Source organism: Homo sapiens, chromosome 7 (genome assembly GCF_000001405.40).
Source record: "Homo sapiens chromosome 7, GRCh38.p14 Primary Assembly".
Classification (NCBI taxonomy): Eukaryota; Metazoa; Chordata; class Mammalia; order Primates; family Hominidae; genus Homo; species Homo sapiens.
The window spans coordinates 131,230,995-131,247,176 of record NC_000007.14 but is presented as its reverse complement, the minus strand read 5'-3'; the positions used below and the strand labels follow the sequence as shown (position 1 = coordinate 131,247,176).

At 42.2% G+C, this 16,182-nt stretch overlaps 1 protein-coding gene and 1 pseudogene across 2 annotated transcripts in view, besides 4 other annotated features; both read right to left on the bottom strand.

Annotated features, from left to right (window-relative positions):
• MKLN1 (muskelin 1) overlaps window positions 1-16,182 on the bottom strand; it is a 386,539-nt gene that overhangs the window by 249,456 nt on the left and 120,901 nt on the right. The window lies entirely within an intron of this gene.
• Window positions 554-1,145: an enhancer, noted in NCBI's record as "H3K4me1 hESC enhancer chr7:130930791-130931382 (GRCh37/hg19 assembly coordinates)". NCBI's record gives its function as "activates a minimal SCP1, AML or CMV promoter by ChIP-STARR-seq in primed H9 embryonic stem cells {active_cell/tissue: H9 hESC(primed)}" and the evidence as "EXISTENCE:reporter gene assay evidence [ECO:0000049][PMID:30033119]".
• Window positions 2,330-2,923: an enhancer, noted in NCBI's record as "H3K27ac hESC enhancer chr7:130929013-130929606 (GRCh37/hg19 assembly coordinates)". NCBI's record gives its function as "activates a minimal SCP1, AML or CMV promoter by ChIP-STARR-seq in naive H9 embryonic stem cells {active_cell/tissue: H9 hESC(naive)}" and the evidence as "EXISTENCE:reporter gene assay evidence [ECO:0000049][PMID:30033119]".
• RPL27P11 (ribosomal protein L27 pseudogene 11) lies at window positions 4,136-4,622 on the bottom strand (annotated as a pseudogene).
• Window positions 15,281-15,330: an enhancer, noted in NCBI's record as "active region_26675". NCBI's record gives its function as "activates an Ori minimal core promoter by ATAC-STARR-seq in GM12878 lymphoblastoid cells {active_cell/tissue: GM12878}" and the evidence as "EXISTENCE:reporter gene assay evidence [ECO:0000049][PMID:35858748]".
• Window positions 15,741-15,790: an enhancer, noted in NCBI's record as "active region_26674". NCBI's record gives its function as "activates an Ori minimal core promoter by ATAC-STARR-seq in GM12878 lymphoblastoid cells {active_cell/tissue: GM12878}" and the evidence as "EXISTENCE:reporter gene assay evidence [ECO:0000049][PMID:35858748]".

The window sequence follows — 16,182 nt, the reverse complement described above, 5'->3', positions numbered from 1 at the left end:
CTTCATGTATCTTAACACAATGAGAAGTTACAACTCAGAGTACTTGGAAGTGCTCCATAGTGTTTGTTTAACCAAAATAAACAACAGAACAAAACAAAACTTGTACTTGTCAACACCAGTTTGCCATGTCCCACACTAGGTTTAATAAAGTGATCAGATTAATAGAGGCTCTGAAAACAAGCTAACTATGCCCTACATCTGTACAGTACTACCACACACACACATTCCACTCTCAACAGTGCCCTGAGATAGGTCAGCTTTACCCTCTCCATCTACAGGTACAGAAAGAAACCACATCACAAGAAGCAAAGCAGCTTGCTCAGATTAGCAAGATTGTCCTAGAATCCAAGATTCCAAACTCAGAATTTAATAGATAAAGTTAAAAGTCTAAAAACAGCCAGGCACAGTGGTTCACACCTGTAATCCCAGCACTTTGGGAGGCTGAGGCGGGCACATCACTTGAGGCCAGGAGTCCAGCCTGGGCAACATGGCAAAACCCCGTCTCTACAAAAAATTAGTCAAAAAAAAAAAAAGACTAAAATCACTTTATTGGAGGAAGGGGGATTTTCCTTAGTATTGTAATGAAGAGCTGTTACAGTTCAATAATTAAAAGGCAAAGACTGCAATAGAAAAATCAGCAAAGGACATGAACGAACAAATCATAAAAGAAGATCTCTGTAGCAATCAAAGAAATACTTTATTGTTAAACAGAATCTGCCTAAAATGTGGGTTTAGAGCTCTCTTCTAAGATAACCCAGACTAGACTTCATAGTCTAGGGTGAAGCTTTATGGGCCCTTTTTCTTGTCCTAATCCCAAACCCGAATCTTCTCATTTTAACACCCCTGGCTGGGGGTGAAGACACAAGAAAGCCAAGTGCACTTGGAAGAATTGTTTGGCATTCCCTGGGCCTCACAAGCAAACATCAGCAGCCGACAAGGCAGGGTGCAGAGGGCCGCCTCATGGAGCCTATGGCCCTGGATGTTCTCCGGTGACAAGTCAAGCCTATCTAGCTTTGTGCAGAGTGCCTGCAGCAGTGCTACTCAAAGTGTGGTCTGTGGGCTGATGGCACGGACATCCCCAAGGAGGTTATAGAAATGCAGGACCTTGGGCCCCCTCCCCAGGTGTCCAGAACAAGATCTGCCTCTCAGGGGCTTCAGAAGTGCGGCCCTAGGGCACCTGGCTTGGGCTTTGACCATCACAGGTGCACAGCAATCACGCATCTGCCCATTGAACAAAAGAGTGGACAGGATGGTCTCTGAGGTCCCTTTCAAAATAAATCATGAGACTTAATGAAAGCTGTCAGGATTCAGCTGAGTAAACTATAGTCATGCGTTGTTTAATGACAGGGATACGTTCTGAGAAATGCATTGTTAGGAGACTTCATTGTTGTTTGAACATCATAGAGTGCACTTACACAAACCTAGATGGGATAAGCCCACTGCACACCTAGGCTACATGGCATAGCCTATTGCTCCTAGGCTTCAAACCTGTATGACATGCTCCTGTACTGAATACTGTAGGCAGCTGTAACACAATAGTATTTGTGTATCAAAGCATATCTAAACATAGAAAAGGTACAGTAAAAAGACAGTATAGGGCCGGGCACAGTGGCTCACGCCTGTAATCCCAGCACTTTGGGAGGCCGAGGCCGGGGGCGGGGGGCGCGGATCACCTGAGGGCAGGAATTCGAGACCAGCCTGGCTAATGTGGTGAAACCCCATCTCTACTAAAAATGCAAAAATTAGCTGGGCGTGGTTGTGGGCACCTGTAATCCCAGCTACTCGGGAGGCTGAGGTAGGAGAATTGCTTGAACCTAGGAGACAGAGGTTGCAGTGAGCCGAGATCACGCCACTGCTCTCAGCCTGGGCAACAGAGCGAGACTCTGTCTCAAAAAAAAAAAAAAAAAAGACCGTATAATAATCTTATGGGATCACCATTGTACATGCAGTCTGTCACTGACCGAAATGTCATTATGCAGCACTTGACTGTATCACCATTTTACAAAGGCCTTTAAGTAAGATTAACAAATTAATAACAGTGATTTGGTTCTGATATTTTTGACCGTGAATTTAGAGTTTCTTATTAGTATCATGTCACTGGGCTTTTTTATATGCCCAGGAGGCACCAACAAGGCGTAAAGCCTTTTCTCATTCGTCCCTTCTAGTCCACCTCTTACAAAACAGAAAGCATTGGGATGTAAAATCAAATGAGTAGAAATGAGAACGGAGCTGCAAAGGCTGGAGGAAAGGGTGCCGCCGTGTAGGGGTGTCGCTCTTTTCCCTGCCTTTCCACAGAGAGCAGAGCCCAGAAGCATTCACCTTGTACATTCGGGCATATGTGCAGAGGAGGGGCGGATGAAGAGGGAAAGAAAAGACTAGAAAGAGGAAAGAAGGGGCCAAGAATCAAGGACCCCTGTGCCAACACAGGGGGACATGCCAAATCTGGCCACCAAAGTCCTTTTGAGGCAACTGCATGCATCATCGTCATCATCGTCATCACCGTCATCACCGTCGTCACTGTAACTCTACTTGCTGTCTGCCAACCACTTTACTGAGCAGACCATCCTAGTAGCAACCCACCTTCTAGCTTCAAGGCTGTCCATAGACCTTAGGCTGCCAGGAAACCAGTTATAAGCAGGGAGACAAAAGGGATCCAGAGGATGGAGAGGCATTCTGAGTTCCGCTAATGAGTGAGGTGAGTCACGGGCTGACTCAGACGAACAAGAAGCCTGTGAGAGGGGAGGTGGTGGGGGCCAGACTTCAGAGGAGCCCTGCTGAAACGTTCAAATGGGAGCTAGGAGGCCAGGGACATAGTGTTATTCAGAGAACTGCCTGCAGCTCTGGCGTTGGAGGGAGGAGCGGGTCATGAAAACAGGGAGAAAATTGCATTTGAAGCCAGAAGCTGAGTTGTGAATCTGTAGCCTTCTCTACTTTGAGAAATATGCAGTATTCTCTAGTGACACCCACCTGCTCTTCGGCAAATTCCCGAAAACTAACTCAATAGGCATTAATGGTCATCAGGTCCCTGGGGAGTAGAGGGAAATCGGGTACCACTCGATTTTTTTAATCTCAATTAGAAAAATGGGCCTCTTTTGACTTTCTTTAGTGTTTTACATTTGGAGAATCTTGTGATCCAACCATATTTTTTGTTTGTTTGTTTTTTTGAGACAGGGTTTTGCTCTGTCACCCAGGCTGGAGTACAGCGGTGCAGCTCGGCTCACTTCAACCTCTGCCTCCTGGTTCAAGCGATTCTCCTGCCTCAGCCTCCTGAGTAGCTGGGATTACAGGAACGTGCCACCATGCCCAGCTAATTTTTTGTATTTTTAGTAGAGACGGGGTTTCACCATGTTGGCCAGGCTGGTCTTGAACTCCTGATTTCAGGTGATCCACCCACCTTGGCCTCCCAAAGTGCTGGGATTACAGACGTGAGCTACCTCGCAGGGCCTGACATAATTTTTAAAAAATTTAAATATATGACTAAAGCGTCTTCTTTCCTGTTAATGGATAGAAGCATGGCCAATAGCAGTTAGCCGTGGTCATCTTAGCCTTGGCCAGCTAATTTTCCATTACCAGCAGATTTGCTGTATTTAATCTTAGGTGTTTTGTAACATTATTAACCTCAGTGTCTGATAATTGCAAAAACAATTCAGAATGCTCAATGTGCTATTGAGAATAGGTTTAGGATTATGATGAAAATAAAACAGATTAACAGATTGAATGTGGTAAGAAAAATCATGTGTTGCAAGCGGGTAACACATGAGGTTTTGAGTTTGCAGAGTCCAGGTTCACACATTATTACAAAGGCCGGTAACAGCATTGTTCTATACGGACTGCGGAAATGACATGATTGTCTCCCGACATACTGTATCTAGGCCCCCTGAAGAGCAGGTATTTGTGACATGGCTAGACATAGGTGTAGAGTATTTGAGTGGCACAATTTTTCTTCAAGTAACTGACACAGAAATCAAACCCCCAGACTCCGCCAATTCAGACAACGTAAACCAACTGAACTATCTAAAAATAATTTTGGTTGATTACGTATTTATATGTAATTTGATGACTATTGTCTCAAATGTACTTCACTAGGACGGTACCATGGCTGTGGAAAAGTTTGGCCATCTGTGAACTTTCCTTTTTTTTTTCTGTTTAATTTTTAATGACCAAAACGAAGCATCTAAAACCGCAGCTTCTGGAAGAACCGCTTGTTCTTGCCTGTCTTGTATCTCTCTTCAAACTTGACCTTGGCCTCTCATCGGGCCTTGTGTTTAAGAGTAGGGTCTCTGAAGACATCCTTATTGATGACAGTTTTGTCCAAGGGGATATCCACAGAGTACCTTGTGGGCATTAGCTGATTGTGGTTATAAACTTTCACAAAAGACTTGATCTTTGACCTCTTAGAGATCTTCTTCTTGCCCATGGCAGCTGTCACTTTGTGGGGACAGCGGTCAATTCCAGCCACCAGAGCATGGCTGTAGGGGCGATCTAAGGTACCATCATCAATGTTCTTCACGATGATGGCTTTGCATCCAGAATAGCATCCAGCCAGAACAAGCACCACCGTCCCAGGTTTCATGAACTTGCCCATTTCAGCAGCAACCCCTCGGGCCTATAGCAAAAAGGAACTTTCCTTTTTCTTTTTAAGAGACAGGGTCACACTCTGTCACCCAGCCTGGAGGGCAGTGGCGCAATCACAGCTCACTTTAGTCTCAAACTCCTGGGCTCAAGGGATCCTCACACGTCAGCCTCCTGAGTAGCCGGGACTACAGGCATGCCCCACCATAACCAGCTAATTTTTAAAATTTTTTGTAGAGATGGAGTCTTGCTATGTGCCCAAGTTGGTCTCAAATGCCTGGCCTCAAGTGATCCTCCTGCTTTAGCCTCCCAAATTGCTGGGATTACAGGCGTGAGCCACCATACCTAGCCAGCTGTGAACTTTCACGGAGATGGAAAATACTTTCCTCCAAAAGTAAAAGTGTTTCAACTTCGCCTGCCCTCAACAGATGACAATAGCCGTTGGCCGTGGTCATCTTAGCCTTGGCCAGCTAATTTTCCATTACCAGCAGATTTGCTGTATTTAATCTTAGGTGTTTTGCAACATTATTAACCTCAGTGTCTGATAATTGCAAAAACAATTCAGAATGCTCAATGTGCTATTGAGAATAGGTTTAGGATTATGATGAAAATAAAACAGATTAACAGATTGAATGTGGTAAGAAAAATCATGTGTTGCAAGCGGGTAAGAGATGGATCCTTAGTCAACAGGGTGATTCGGAAAGACAAAAAGGTTCAAAATGTGAAAAATGCTGGCGGGGTCTATGCAATGAACAGCAATTAGCAGAAAATGAGGGAAAGTAATCAAAGAAATGGAAACAATACTGAGTATGTGATTAGAGAGCTAGCATCAACTTTGACTGCCTATCATCCAAGCATTAATTCAGATGAAAGCTAAAATTGTGTTCAAGTACTTAAAAGCTAGGTGTTGTGACAGTGCTAAGGAGTTTTTGTTTTTGTTTTGCTTTGTTTTGTTTAGACAAGATCTCACCCAGGCTGGAATGCAGTGATGCCATCAGCTTCCTTAGCAACTGGGACCACATGTGCAGGCCACCACACCTGGCTACTTTTTAAAAATTTTTGTAGCGACAAGTTCTCACTATGTTGGCCAGGATGGCCTTGAATTCCTGGGCTCAAATAATTCTCCCACCTTGGCCTCCCAAAGTGCTGGAATTACAGGCGTGAGCCACCGCCCCTGGGCTGCTAAGGTGTTCTTTTTTTTTTTTTCTTTTTTCTTTTTTTTTTTTTTAGACAGAGTCTCCTTCTGTCTTCCAGGCTGGAGTGCAGTGGTGCAATCTCGGCTCACTGCAATCTCTGCCTCCCAGGTTCAAGCAATTCTCATGCCTCAGCCTCCCAACTAGCTGGTATTATAGGTATGTGCCACCATGCCTGGCTAATTTTTGTATTTTTAGTAGAGACAGGGTTTCACCATGTTGGCCAGCCTGGTCTCAAACTCCTGGCCTCAAGTGATCCACCCTCCTCTGCCTCCCAAAGTGCTGGGATCACAGCCTAGCCTGCTAAGGAGTACTTTATGACACTTGCTCACCAAGGGCTGCCATGACTGATTTTCAGTATGTATGAAAGGATCTATTATGAATAAAGTGGCCCATGGGATGAATATCAGCAAGAAGAGGGCTCTGCCTAGTTCTAAATCTTGGAAGGACCAAGGTGTCTTTCTAAGCTTAAATCACTCTTAGCCAGTTTGTCTTAACAAGAGTCTTTCAGGATTCACCAGGTCTGTAAGGTATATACACATTTCTGTGTCTATTTTTGAATCATTCTTTTTTCTTAACATTAGATAGCAAGATTTTCCTTTAGCTTTTAGCTAGTTCTTTAACGACAACTTGGTATCCCATTTGCCTACTGTGTCATTTAATCCACCTTTTGCTGGGCTCATAAAAATTCTGATATTAATATTATTTGCCATAAATGGTTATGTTTATCTGAATATTTTATTAGGACAAATTAGTAGAGTGAAGTTACAGGTTATAGCGTATGAATGAGTTTAATGTTTTAAAATATTTCTAAATTTACCTCTGGAAAGGTTTTGCCAACTAATATCTCCATCAGAAAAATATCAATGTTCCTATTTCCATGTACTTTTATCTATATTAGATAGTATTTTTCATTTATCTCTCTTCATTTTGAGGAGAAAAAATTTTTAAACGTTTGCATGATAGTTATTGAGATCTCTTTCTATGATTTTTCATTTATATCCTTTGCCAATATTTATATTTGAGTATTTGCCTTTTAATTATTGATTTGTTAGACACGATTACTAGTAGACCTAGAGCAGCTTCACAGTCTGCTCCTTATACATTAAGGAGAGTTACCTCCCCTTAATTTGTAGGTAGCCTTTTAACTTTATAGTATTCTGAAGTGGCAGGTCCCTGGCGGGGGGGAACTTTACTTATAATAGTCACCATTAGTTTTGTTTGTTTGTTTGTGACAGGATCTTGCTCTGTCACCCAGGCTGGAGTACAGTGGCATGATCACGGCTCACTGCAGTCTCGACTTCCTGGGCTCAAGTGATCTTCCCTCCTCAGCCTGCCAAGTAGCTGGGACTAAAAGCACGCACCATCATGTCCTGCTAATTTTTAAATTTTTTATAGAGATGGGTCTCACTATGTTGCCCAGGCTGGTCTCGAACTCCTGGTCTCGAGTGATCATCCTGCCTCAGCCTCCCAAAGTGCTGGGATTATAGGCGTGAGCCACCAAGCCTGGCCTTACCTTGCTTTTTAAAAGTTAACAATATATTATTAATAGGACACCTTCAACAGAAAGGTTTTCTTTTTCTTTTAAGAGATAGGGTCTCACTAGGTTGACCAGGCTGGTCTCAAACTCCTGGCTTTAAGCAATCCTCCCATTTCAGCCTCCCAAAGTGCTGGAATTACAGGGATGAGCCACCGTATCCAATCCAGGAAGACATTTAATGTAAACATGGGATGGGATGACTCTGGTATCAAACAAGAAAACTTCAAAATTCCTTTCTGGCCATAAAAAATGAGGGCTGGGTGTGGTAGCTCACACCTGTAATCCTAGCAATTTAGGAGACCGAGGTGGGAAGATAGCTTAAGGTCATGAGTTTGAGATCAGTCTGGGCAACCTAGCAAGACCCCTGTCTCTATAAAAAATTTAAAAATCAGCTGGGTGTGGCATGTACCTATAGCCCTAGCTACTTGGGAGGCTGAGGTGGAAGGATCACTTGAGCCCAGGAGTTTGAGGCTGCAGTGAGATATGAGCTATGATCGTGTCAGTACACTCCAGCCTGGGTGACAGAGTGAGACCCTGTCTGAAAAAAAAAAAGAAAAAGATAAGCATATGAGGTAACACATAATACGTAAATTAGCTTGATTTAGCCATTCCACAATGTATGCATATATTAAAACATCATATTGTACACCACAAATATATATGATTTTTATTAGTCAATTATGAATATAAATAAATGAAATAAAAAGTTTTAAAAATAAATAAATGGAGTACCCTGCCACCCTCCCCAGCACCCCTTAAAAATTCCTGTCTTGGTTCTGCCACCATAATCATAGAATCTCAGAGTTGGAGAGTGTGGTAGAAGATTTGCTAGTGATACGTCAAAACCTGGTTCTTCTTTTTGCTAGGAAAACAGCTCAACTAAATTCTAAGCCTCCCTTGCAGCTAGATGGTGGCCATGCAACTAAATTCTAGTGGATAGAATGTGAACAGAGTTTATGTGCACCACTTCTCTGTTCTAAGGTCCAGCCCATAAAAACCTCCCCACACAATCCTCCATGTTCTCTCCCTGTCTGTTAGCAGGATGTCATTGCCTGTCAGTGCCACATGTTGAAGACGTGAAGGTGGGAGAATCACAAGATAGAAGTGGCCTAGTTCCTTGAATTACCACTTGGAAGAGAACCACCACTATCAGCCACTATTACCACACCCATGGTGAATGTCAGATAAGTGTGAAATAAACTTTCTTTCAGGCTTCAGCCATAAGACATTTTTTAGGTTTGATTATTACAGCAGCTAGTGTTCCCTTCATTAACACAGACAGCAACCTCAGAGTCCCTGTAGTCCAGACTTCTTTCTTTCCAGTGCCTGCTTCTCTTCCTTGGCATTCTACATTACTGGTCATCCTGTCTCTGCAAATAAGTGATCTCATGACCTCCAATGGACTTCTGAACTCTTTGCAGGAAGTGGCCATGTTAGTCATCATTGTGTCTTTAGTGTCTAGCAAGACTGGTATAATGCAACAGCTCAATAAATGTTTCGGGGTGAATGAAGACATGAACACCTCCTGAGGCAAAGAATTAATTCACTACTATATCAGTCACTGTAATATACTTCAATCAGCTTGAATTATTAGAACATTACTTATATGAAGCTAATATCCATCATCCTTTATCTAGTACCAATTTAGGACTGCCCTTTGCAGGCACACAAGATGAGTCTGAGCCTTCTTCAAGATAGCCCTTTAGCTTTTTGCTTGTTTTTTTTGAGACAGGGTCTCACTCTGTCGCCCAGGCTGGAGTGCAGTGGCATGATCTCAGCTCACTGCAACCTCCGCCTCCTGGGTTCAAGTGATTCTCGTGCCTCAGCCTCCCAAGTAGCTGGAATTATAGGCACCCACCACCATGCCCAGATAATTTTTGTACTTTTAGTAGAGACAGGGTTTTGCCATGTTGACCAGGCTGGTGTCGAACTCCTGACCTCAGGTGATCCACCTGCCTCGGCCTCCCAAAGTGCTGAAATTATAGATCTGAGCTACCACACCCAGCCACCCTTTAGTTATTTTTGATGATACTCCCATCCCTTCCATGACAAATCCCTTGGTCTCCAGGCTGAATAGTCAACATGTGTCAATTATTTTTCTTAGCTTGTAGTTACCAGAACTCTTATCTCCATCTTTACCTGCTTCTGGGCACACCCAGGTCTATCATTGCTTCCTACTCAATGGGTACTCAGAACAGAACATCATATCATAAACGTGGCACACACTGACCAGCCCTTGATGGACCAATTGCCCCACTTAGTCAGGACTGCATACTTCGATTATACAGCCTAATATTTTTATTGTCTCTGAGGTGGCCATATCACCTGTTGACTAATTTAGAGCTTGTGATCAAACTTCCTATCTCTTCTATCTCCTTTCCTCTGGCTCTAACGTACATCCTAATATCTACTATGTCACCTTAGACAAGTCATTCCACCTTTCTGGGAATCATTTCCTGTGTGAAAAATGAGGTAGTTGGACCAGGTGATTTTTCAGATCTTTTTTCTGCCTTCTAACATGCTTTAAGTCTAAAGCAGGAAGTTCTGGGAGACTTCACGTTGTACTTTGATGTAAAATCTCTCACTCATAGGAGTATGGGAATGTAAATCCGCCTGGAAACGTTAAACTCATCAAACAACATGAAACTGTACAGGTAATTTTTCTCAGCTGTACTACACTTGTATCCACAGGTATCTGGACATTGTGTGATAAATTGCATATATACACTAAGGCCAGTGTATGGATTATACCATACTCAGTCATCAAGAAAAGAGAAAATCAGGCATAGGCAAAAAATAAGCAAACAAACAAAAAATCAGTGAGAGCTTGGGGGGAACCAGACTGTGGTTTTCTCCATCATTTTTTTTGTCTTTTCTTTTTTAGAGACAGAGTCTCGCTCTGTCACCCGGGCTAGAGTGCAATGGTGTGCAATCATAGCTCACTGCAGCCTTGAACTGCTGGGCTCAAGTTATCCTCCCATCTAGGCCTCCTGAGTAGCTGGGACTACAGGAGTGCACCAGCATGCCCAGCTAATTCTTAAATATTTTATGTAGAGACAGGGACTTGCTATGTTGCCCAAGCTGGTCTTAAACTCCTGGCCTCAAGTGATCCTCCCACCTATGCCTCCCAAAGCACTGGAATTACAAGTATGAGCCACTGCACCATCACACCCGGCCCTCTCCATCACTACTTTTTTTAAAATTTTTTTTTGAGATGGAATCTCACTCTGTTACCCAGGCTAGAGTTCAGTGGTGCAATCTCAGCTTACTGCAACCTCCATTTCCTGAGTTCAAGTGATCCTCCCCACTCAGCCTCCCTATTAGCTAGGACTACAGGTGGGCACCTCCATGCCCAGCTAATTTTTGTATTTTTAGTAGAGTCGGGGTTTCACCATGTTGGACAGGTTGGTCTCAAACACCTGACCTCGAGTGATCTGCCTACCTTGGCCTTCCAAAGTGCTGAGATTACAGGCGTGAGCCACCGTGCCTGGCCTCCATCACTTTTTTAGCGGGGATAGTGACCACGAGAAAGGGGACATACATTTCATTCAGCAGAAAGCTTTGTTTTGTGTGTTGTCAATTTCCTTATCTCATTTCACACACTGTACAACCATACCAAAAAAGACCCTCAGCTATTGGGCAAATAAATGCTATTTGCTAGAGAAATCAAATCATATCTCTATATTTCTTGCCTTTGGTCAAATTCTTATCAAGCAGACATCTTACTGCTTACATTTTACTTACTACTTACATTTTAACTGATTAATTTCTCGTGATATTTCTGCCTGACAGCCCTCAATCCATACCCAAGAGGCTGGATCCACCTCTCACCCTAGACTAAGATTCTACAAATTATTATTTGACTTCCTTTGAAAAACTGATTGCCAGCTTTATAACTCGATCTGGGCACACTCCCCATCGGGGCCTGCATTTCCTGTGGATGATGCATTGGTTTCCAAGGTGACGGTGGGAAGGAATAGACCTGTTAGCTTGTGGCTTCTGACTCACTCACTGCAATGGACGTCATAGAATTGTAGCTGAACAAATGGATGCTGATAATAAGTATGTGCCTAAGGTAGCAGCGGGGCACCAATGGTTAAAACAATCCCATTGTACCAGCTCTCTCTCCCTCCCACTAAGCAAGCCGACAGGCCAACAGAAATACCGGAACTGAAAAAAGATACAACAGATTTCCCCAGTCATATATAAGTTCACAGTGAAGTCCTATTTACATCCCCGAGATTTTGCTCCTACGCCTGGAGAATTTCCTTTTCCTTTCCGGAATGTAGAAGTACCAGGATTCTGTAACAAATCGTCATATGGAGGCTGAAGAGAGTGTGATGGAAACAAGCCAAAAACTCACCAGAAGTCTGTTCACGAAGGTGACAGCCGCTTTTGAACTTTTAAATTTGTTTCTTGTGAGGCAATTCACAGTGGACTAACAATCATCAGAGCCCAGAATGAAACATACATTCTGCTGAGAAATTAATCTTCAGAAAAGTTGAATTTCATGAAGTCTGAAGATGCTCTCTCTCTCTCTCTCTCCCTCTCTCTCTCACATACACACACACACACAGTGTGTGTGTGTCTTCTTGTCTTCAGGCTCACTCACCCACACACACAAAGACAGAGAGAGAGACACAGAGAGAAAGAGATAGAGAGATAGAGGGAGAGACAGAGATAGAGTGAAAGAGAGAGAATGATTGAGATTGACTTTCTAGCTACGTCTTTTTGTATCAACTGATCCCAGCCACCTATAAGTCAAAGAAGACTGCCTGGAATAAAAAAAATATATATGTGAAGAGCCCCGTGTTCTTCATGTCCGAACCAGGGAAGACTGAATGGATTCTTTAGATTCTTGAGTTCCTTAAACGATGAGCAAACCTAAAGGTTCCCTACTGGAGATAATGCATCTTGTTTTCCACTGGGCCTTGCGGGATGCTTTAAATAGCATCAGCAAGCATCCGAATGAATTAGACAGCAAATGTAGGTTAGCTTTATTTAGACAGATAAAGACAAGCAGAGAAAGTTGTCTGGTTCAAGGGCAGTGCAGCCTGACACGACAGCATTTCTCTGAGGAGGGGAAATTGCTTTGGGAGAGAGAGGTATTTTGGGCAAAAAGCAAAGTTCCTTGGATCTCCAGGGAAAGTGATGCTAAATTCTTCAGTACAGAAGAGCTGGAATTGAGAATGGCTTGCCATTCATTGAAGGAAAGAGCTGGAGAGTTAAAATGTAAAGCAAAACTCAGTATCACACATCATCCCTAAGTCCACACATCATTTTTTCTCTTTCCTATTTCTTGGGAACACCACCAGAAAAGACAGGCTTCCCAGAACACAAGCTGGCCTAGCCAGTTTACACGAGTCCTCTGGAGTGTACTTGAGACCCCTGGCAATTCTGAGTCAGGAAATTAGTGCAGCTGAAGAACCCCTGGAGACTGGAAGCCTAGGAAGCAGGGAAACTGGCATATTTGGGGACATTCACACGTTAAACAGAAATGTGAATGCTTGAGAAAAAGTTACAACTAATGAATTTAGTTAATTTTCTTCTTCTTCCCCTATCCACTCTCTTAGACTATTTTTTGAAAATAAAGGCCGGGCGTGGTGTCTCACACCTGTAATCCCAGCACTTTGGGAGGCCGAGGCAGGCGGATCACCTGAGGTCAGGAGTTCAAGACCAGCCTGGCCAACATGGTGAAACCCCGTCTCTACTAAAAATACAAAAATTAGCCGGGCGTGGTGGCAGGTGCCTGTAATCCCAGCTACTCGGGAGGCTGAGGCAGGAGAATCGCTTGAACCCGGGAAGTGGAGGTTGCAGTGAGCCAAGATCATGCCTTTGCACTCTAGCCTGGGGGACAAGAGCAAGACTTCATCTCAAAAAAATAAAATAAAATAAAAAGAAAAGGAAAGAAAAATGCTTTCTTTTTTATTTAAAAAAATGCTTCTTCCTATACCCTTTCTGAAAATAAATGCCTTATGGAAGATCTAGAAAAAACATAACTCTGGTATGTGTTTTTACTATGATGTTTGTGGCTTCTCCTCTTTTTGTTGTTTTTCTTCTCAGTTGGCAGAAGCTAAAGGATATTTGATGTCTTAAAGTCCAGTAGGTCATAGCCCCACTGGTAATTAGTTTTAAAGATTTTTAAAAGTCTCAATTAGTACATTCATATTATTTGAATAAATTATAATTTTAAATATTTAATAATTCTACGAGTAAACCATTTTATACCTCATATATTTTTATGTTCCTAAAGTAACAATGAATTTAGTCTTGTAAAATATTTTTAAAATATCTAAAAACTTTGTTTTGCATAGATTTTCATTTCTTCCCCAGACTAATTTGGTAGATGTTTTCTTTAAGGGCCTCACAACTTCTGAAAAGTATACAACTTATGTATCACCAAGACAGCATCATAGGGAAAATATGTTATAACCCTGTCATGACGCAAAATATAAACTTTATTTTTATTTATTTATTTATTTATTTATTTATTTATTTTTTGGAGACAGGGTCTCCTTCTGTCACCCAGGCTGGAGTGCAGTGGCATCGTAGATCACTACAATCTCAATCTCCTGAGCTCAAGGGATCTCCCACCTCAGCCTCCCGAATAGCTAGGACCACAGGCACATACTATCTTGCCCGGCTAATAATTTCATTTTTGGGTTTTGCTTTGTTTTTTTGTTTGTTTGTTTTTTGCCAAGACAGAATCTCGCTATGTTGCTCAGGCTGGTCTCGAACTCGTGGGCTCAAACAATCCTTCCTCCTCGGCCTCCCAAAGTGCTGAGATTACAGGCAAGAGCCACCATGCCCGGTCTAAACTTCGTTTTGAATTAAACACTTACGCCACTTTCTTTGTACTTATTATTTATGCACTCATTTCACTCATTCCCTCCTTCCACAATTATTTGCTGAGTCCCCGCTTTAAGCACATAAAGTGAGCATCATACTCAGTGGTTGCCTTTCCTCATGATCAGTGCTTTTCTCTTCCTAATTATTAATTATTTTTATTTATTTATTTATTTTTTGGAGATGGGGTCTCCCTCTGTCACCCAGGCTGGAGTGCAGTGGCATCGTAGCTCACTTCAATCTCAACCTCCCAAGCTCCTTTCACTGTGTGCACACCAAGCTCACTCTCTAGTTATCTTTGCTGGTAAACTCGTGTATGTACTAAAAATGTATTCAATTGAGGAGTACAGTTTTTCATTTTAACAAAAAGCACACAAACTTCCCTAGTTCACTGCCAAAAACTCAATATTCTTTTAACTATTTGCGAGATTGGCAAATCAGTTAATCATTGGATGTCATTATAATTCTAGGAAGGTGATGGAAAGCCAATCAATATCACTATAATTATAAAGTAATAGATTCAAAAGACTTCTCTGAGACCTGGTTGCCAAGCTTATTCCAATGTTATATTAACAGTTTATATATATAAAACCCCCTCACCTAAACCAATCCTATAAATTTTTCATGTGTGTAGTTACAAGAATCTAATCAAAAGGAAAACTACTCTTTTATTTCTTTGTGGCAAAGGAGCTAACATTTCTACATGAACTGAAATGAAAAAACTTAATAACATCACTGGGATCTATAATTTTTTGTTCTGACATCTTTAATCACTTCGCTATTAGAGTATCTTTATTATAATTTCTCAATTTGTGCTAATAATGAGACCTTTTACATGTTCTTCAATAAGTCAATTTCAGAACGTGTTTTTAATATTTTTTAAATGCTGGAGAAAAATTTTTATATGGAGGTAGGAAGCAAAGTTAAAATCAATCACTGATCCAAATAAATAAAATATGATGTATATAACATTAAAAAATTATAGGAATGAATTTTTTGTTTGTGTTTTTCTGTGTCCTTCATGTTCGCTGAACTAAATATTATAATTTCAGTAATTTTTAACACTCTAAAGGAGAAAATATTGTAATAATATTTGGCTAGGTAAAATAAGAATCACACGTTTTATTTTTATTTTGCGACATTTGTGGTTCTTCAGCATGACATTGGCATTCTTCCTCTTCTGATGCAACTTCCTTCTCTGTTTCATTTTGTTTTGGTTGAAGTTGTTTCAACCTCCCCCTTCTCTGAGCAGTCTTTCAGCTTGTCTGAGGTTTTGAGCTGTCACTTTGTTTTCTGAATATCTACTTTTGTTTTTGGTGGCAACACCTACATATAAACATCTAGCCACCCATCCAAATGGACACACACCTACACACACTCAGACTCATAGACACACAGACGCAGATCTGCACGCACGAGCATGCACACATGCCCAGCCTCAACGCATCCATCCTCCTGCAGAGAGTTCAAACCACTCCAGCTGTTTCCTGGCCCTGGCCACAAGAGCAACAGTAGAGTTCTAATGTCAGTTCTCTGATTGGAACCAGCACTAATAAATGCTGCTGCTTCCAAGGAAGCCCTTACGTCACCTGGACCAAGGGGAAGACAGCTGTACAGGTTCAAGACGATGGAGCCAAGTGCTTCAGGCTGCATGTAGTGATACACAGGGGGAAGAAACGAGAATTGGGGTTGTACCTGAAGTGCTTTGTCCCAACTATCTTTTGACAGCCATGTACTGATAGGTTAAGACTCAGTTCCTAAGTATCAACTCTCTGAATCTTTTCCTGACATGCTAACTGTCCCTCCTCTGTACCGCTACAATCCTGTAGTTAAATGTTTATCTTCTCCTCTCCTGCCCTGCCAGGCCCATCAGATTTAAAACCTTTTTTTTTTTTTTTTTTTTTTTGAGACAGAGTCTTGCTCTGTCACCCAGGCTGGAGTGCAGTGGTACGATCTCCGCTCACTGCAACCTCGGCCTCCCAGGTTCAAACGATTCTCGTGCCTCGGCCTCCCAAGTAGCTGGGACTACAG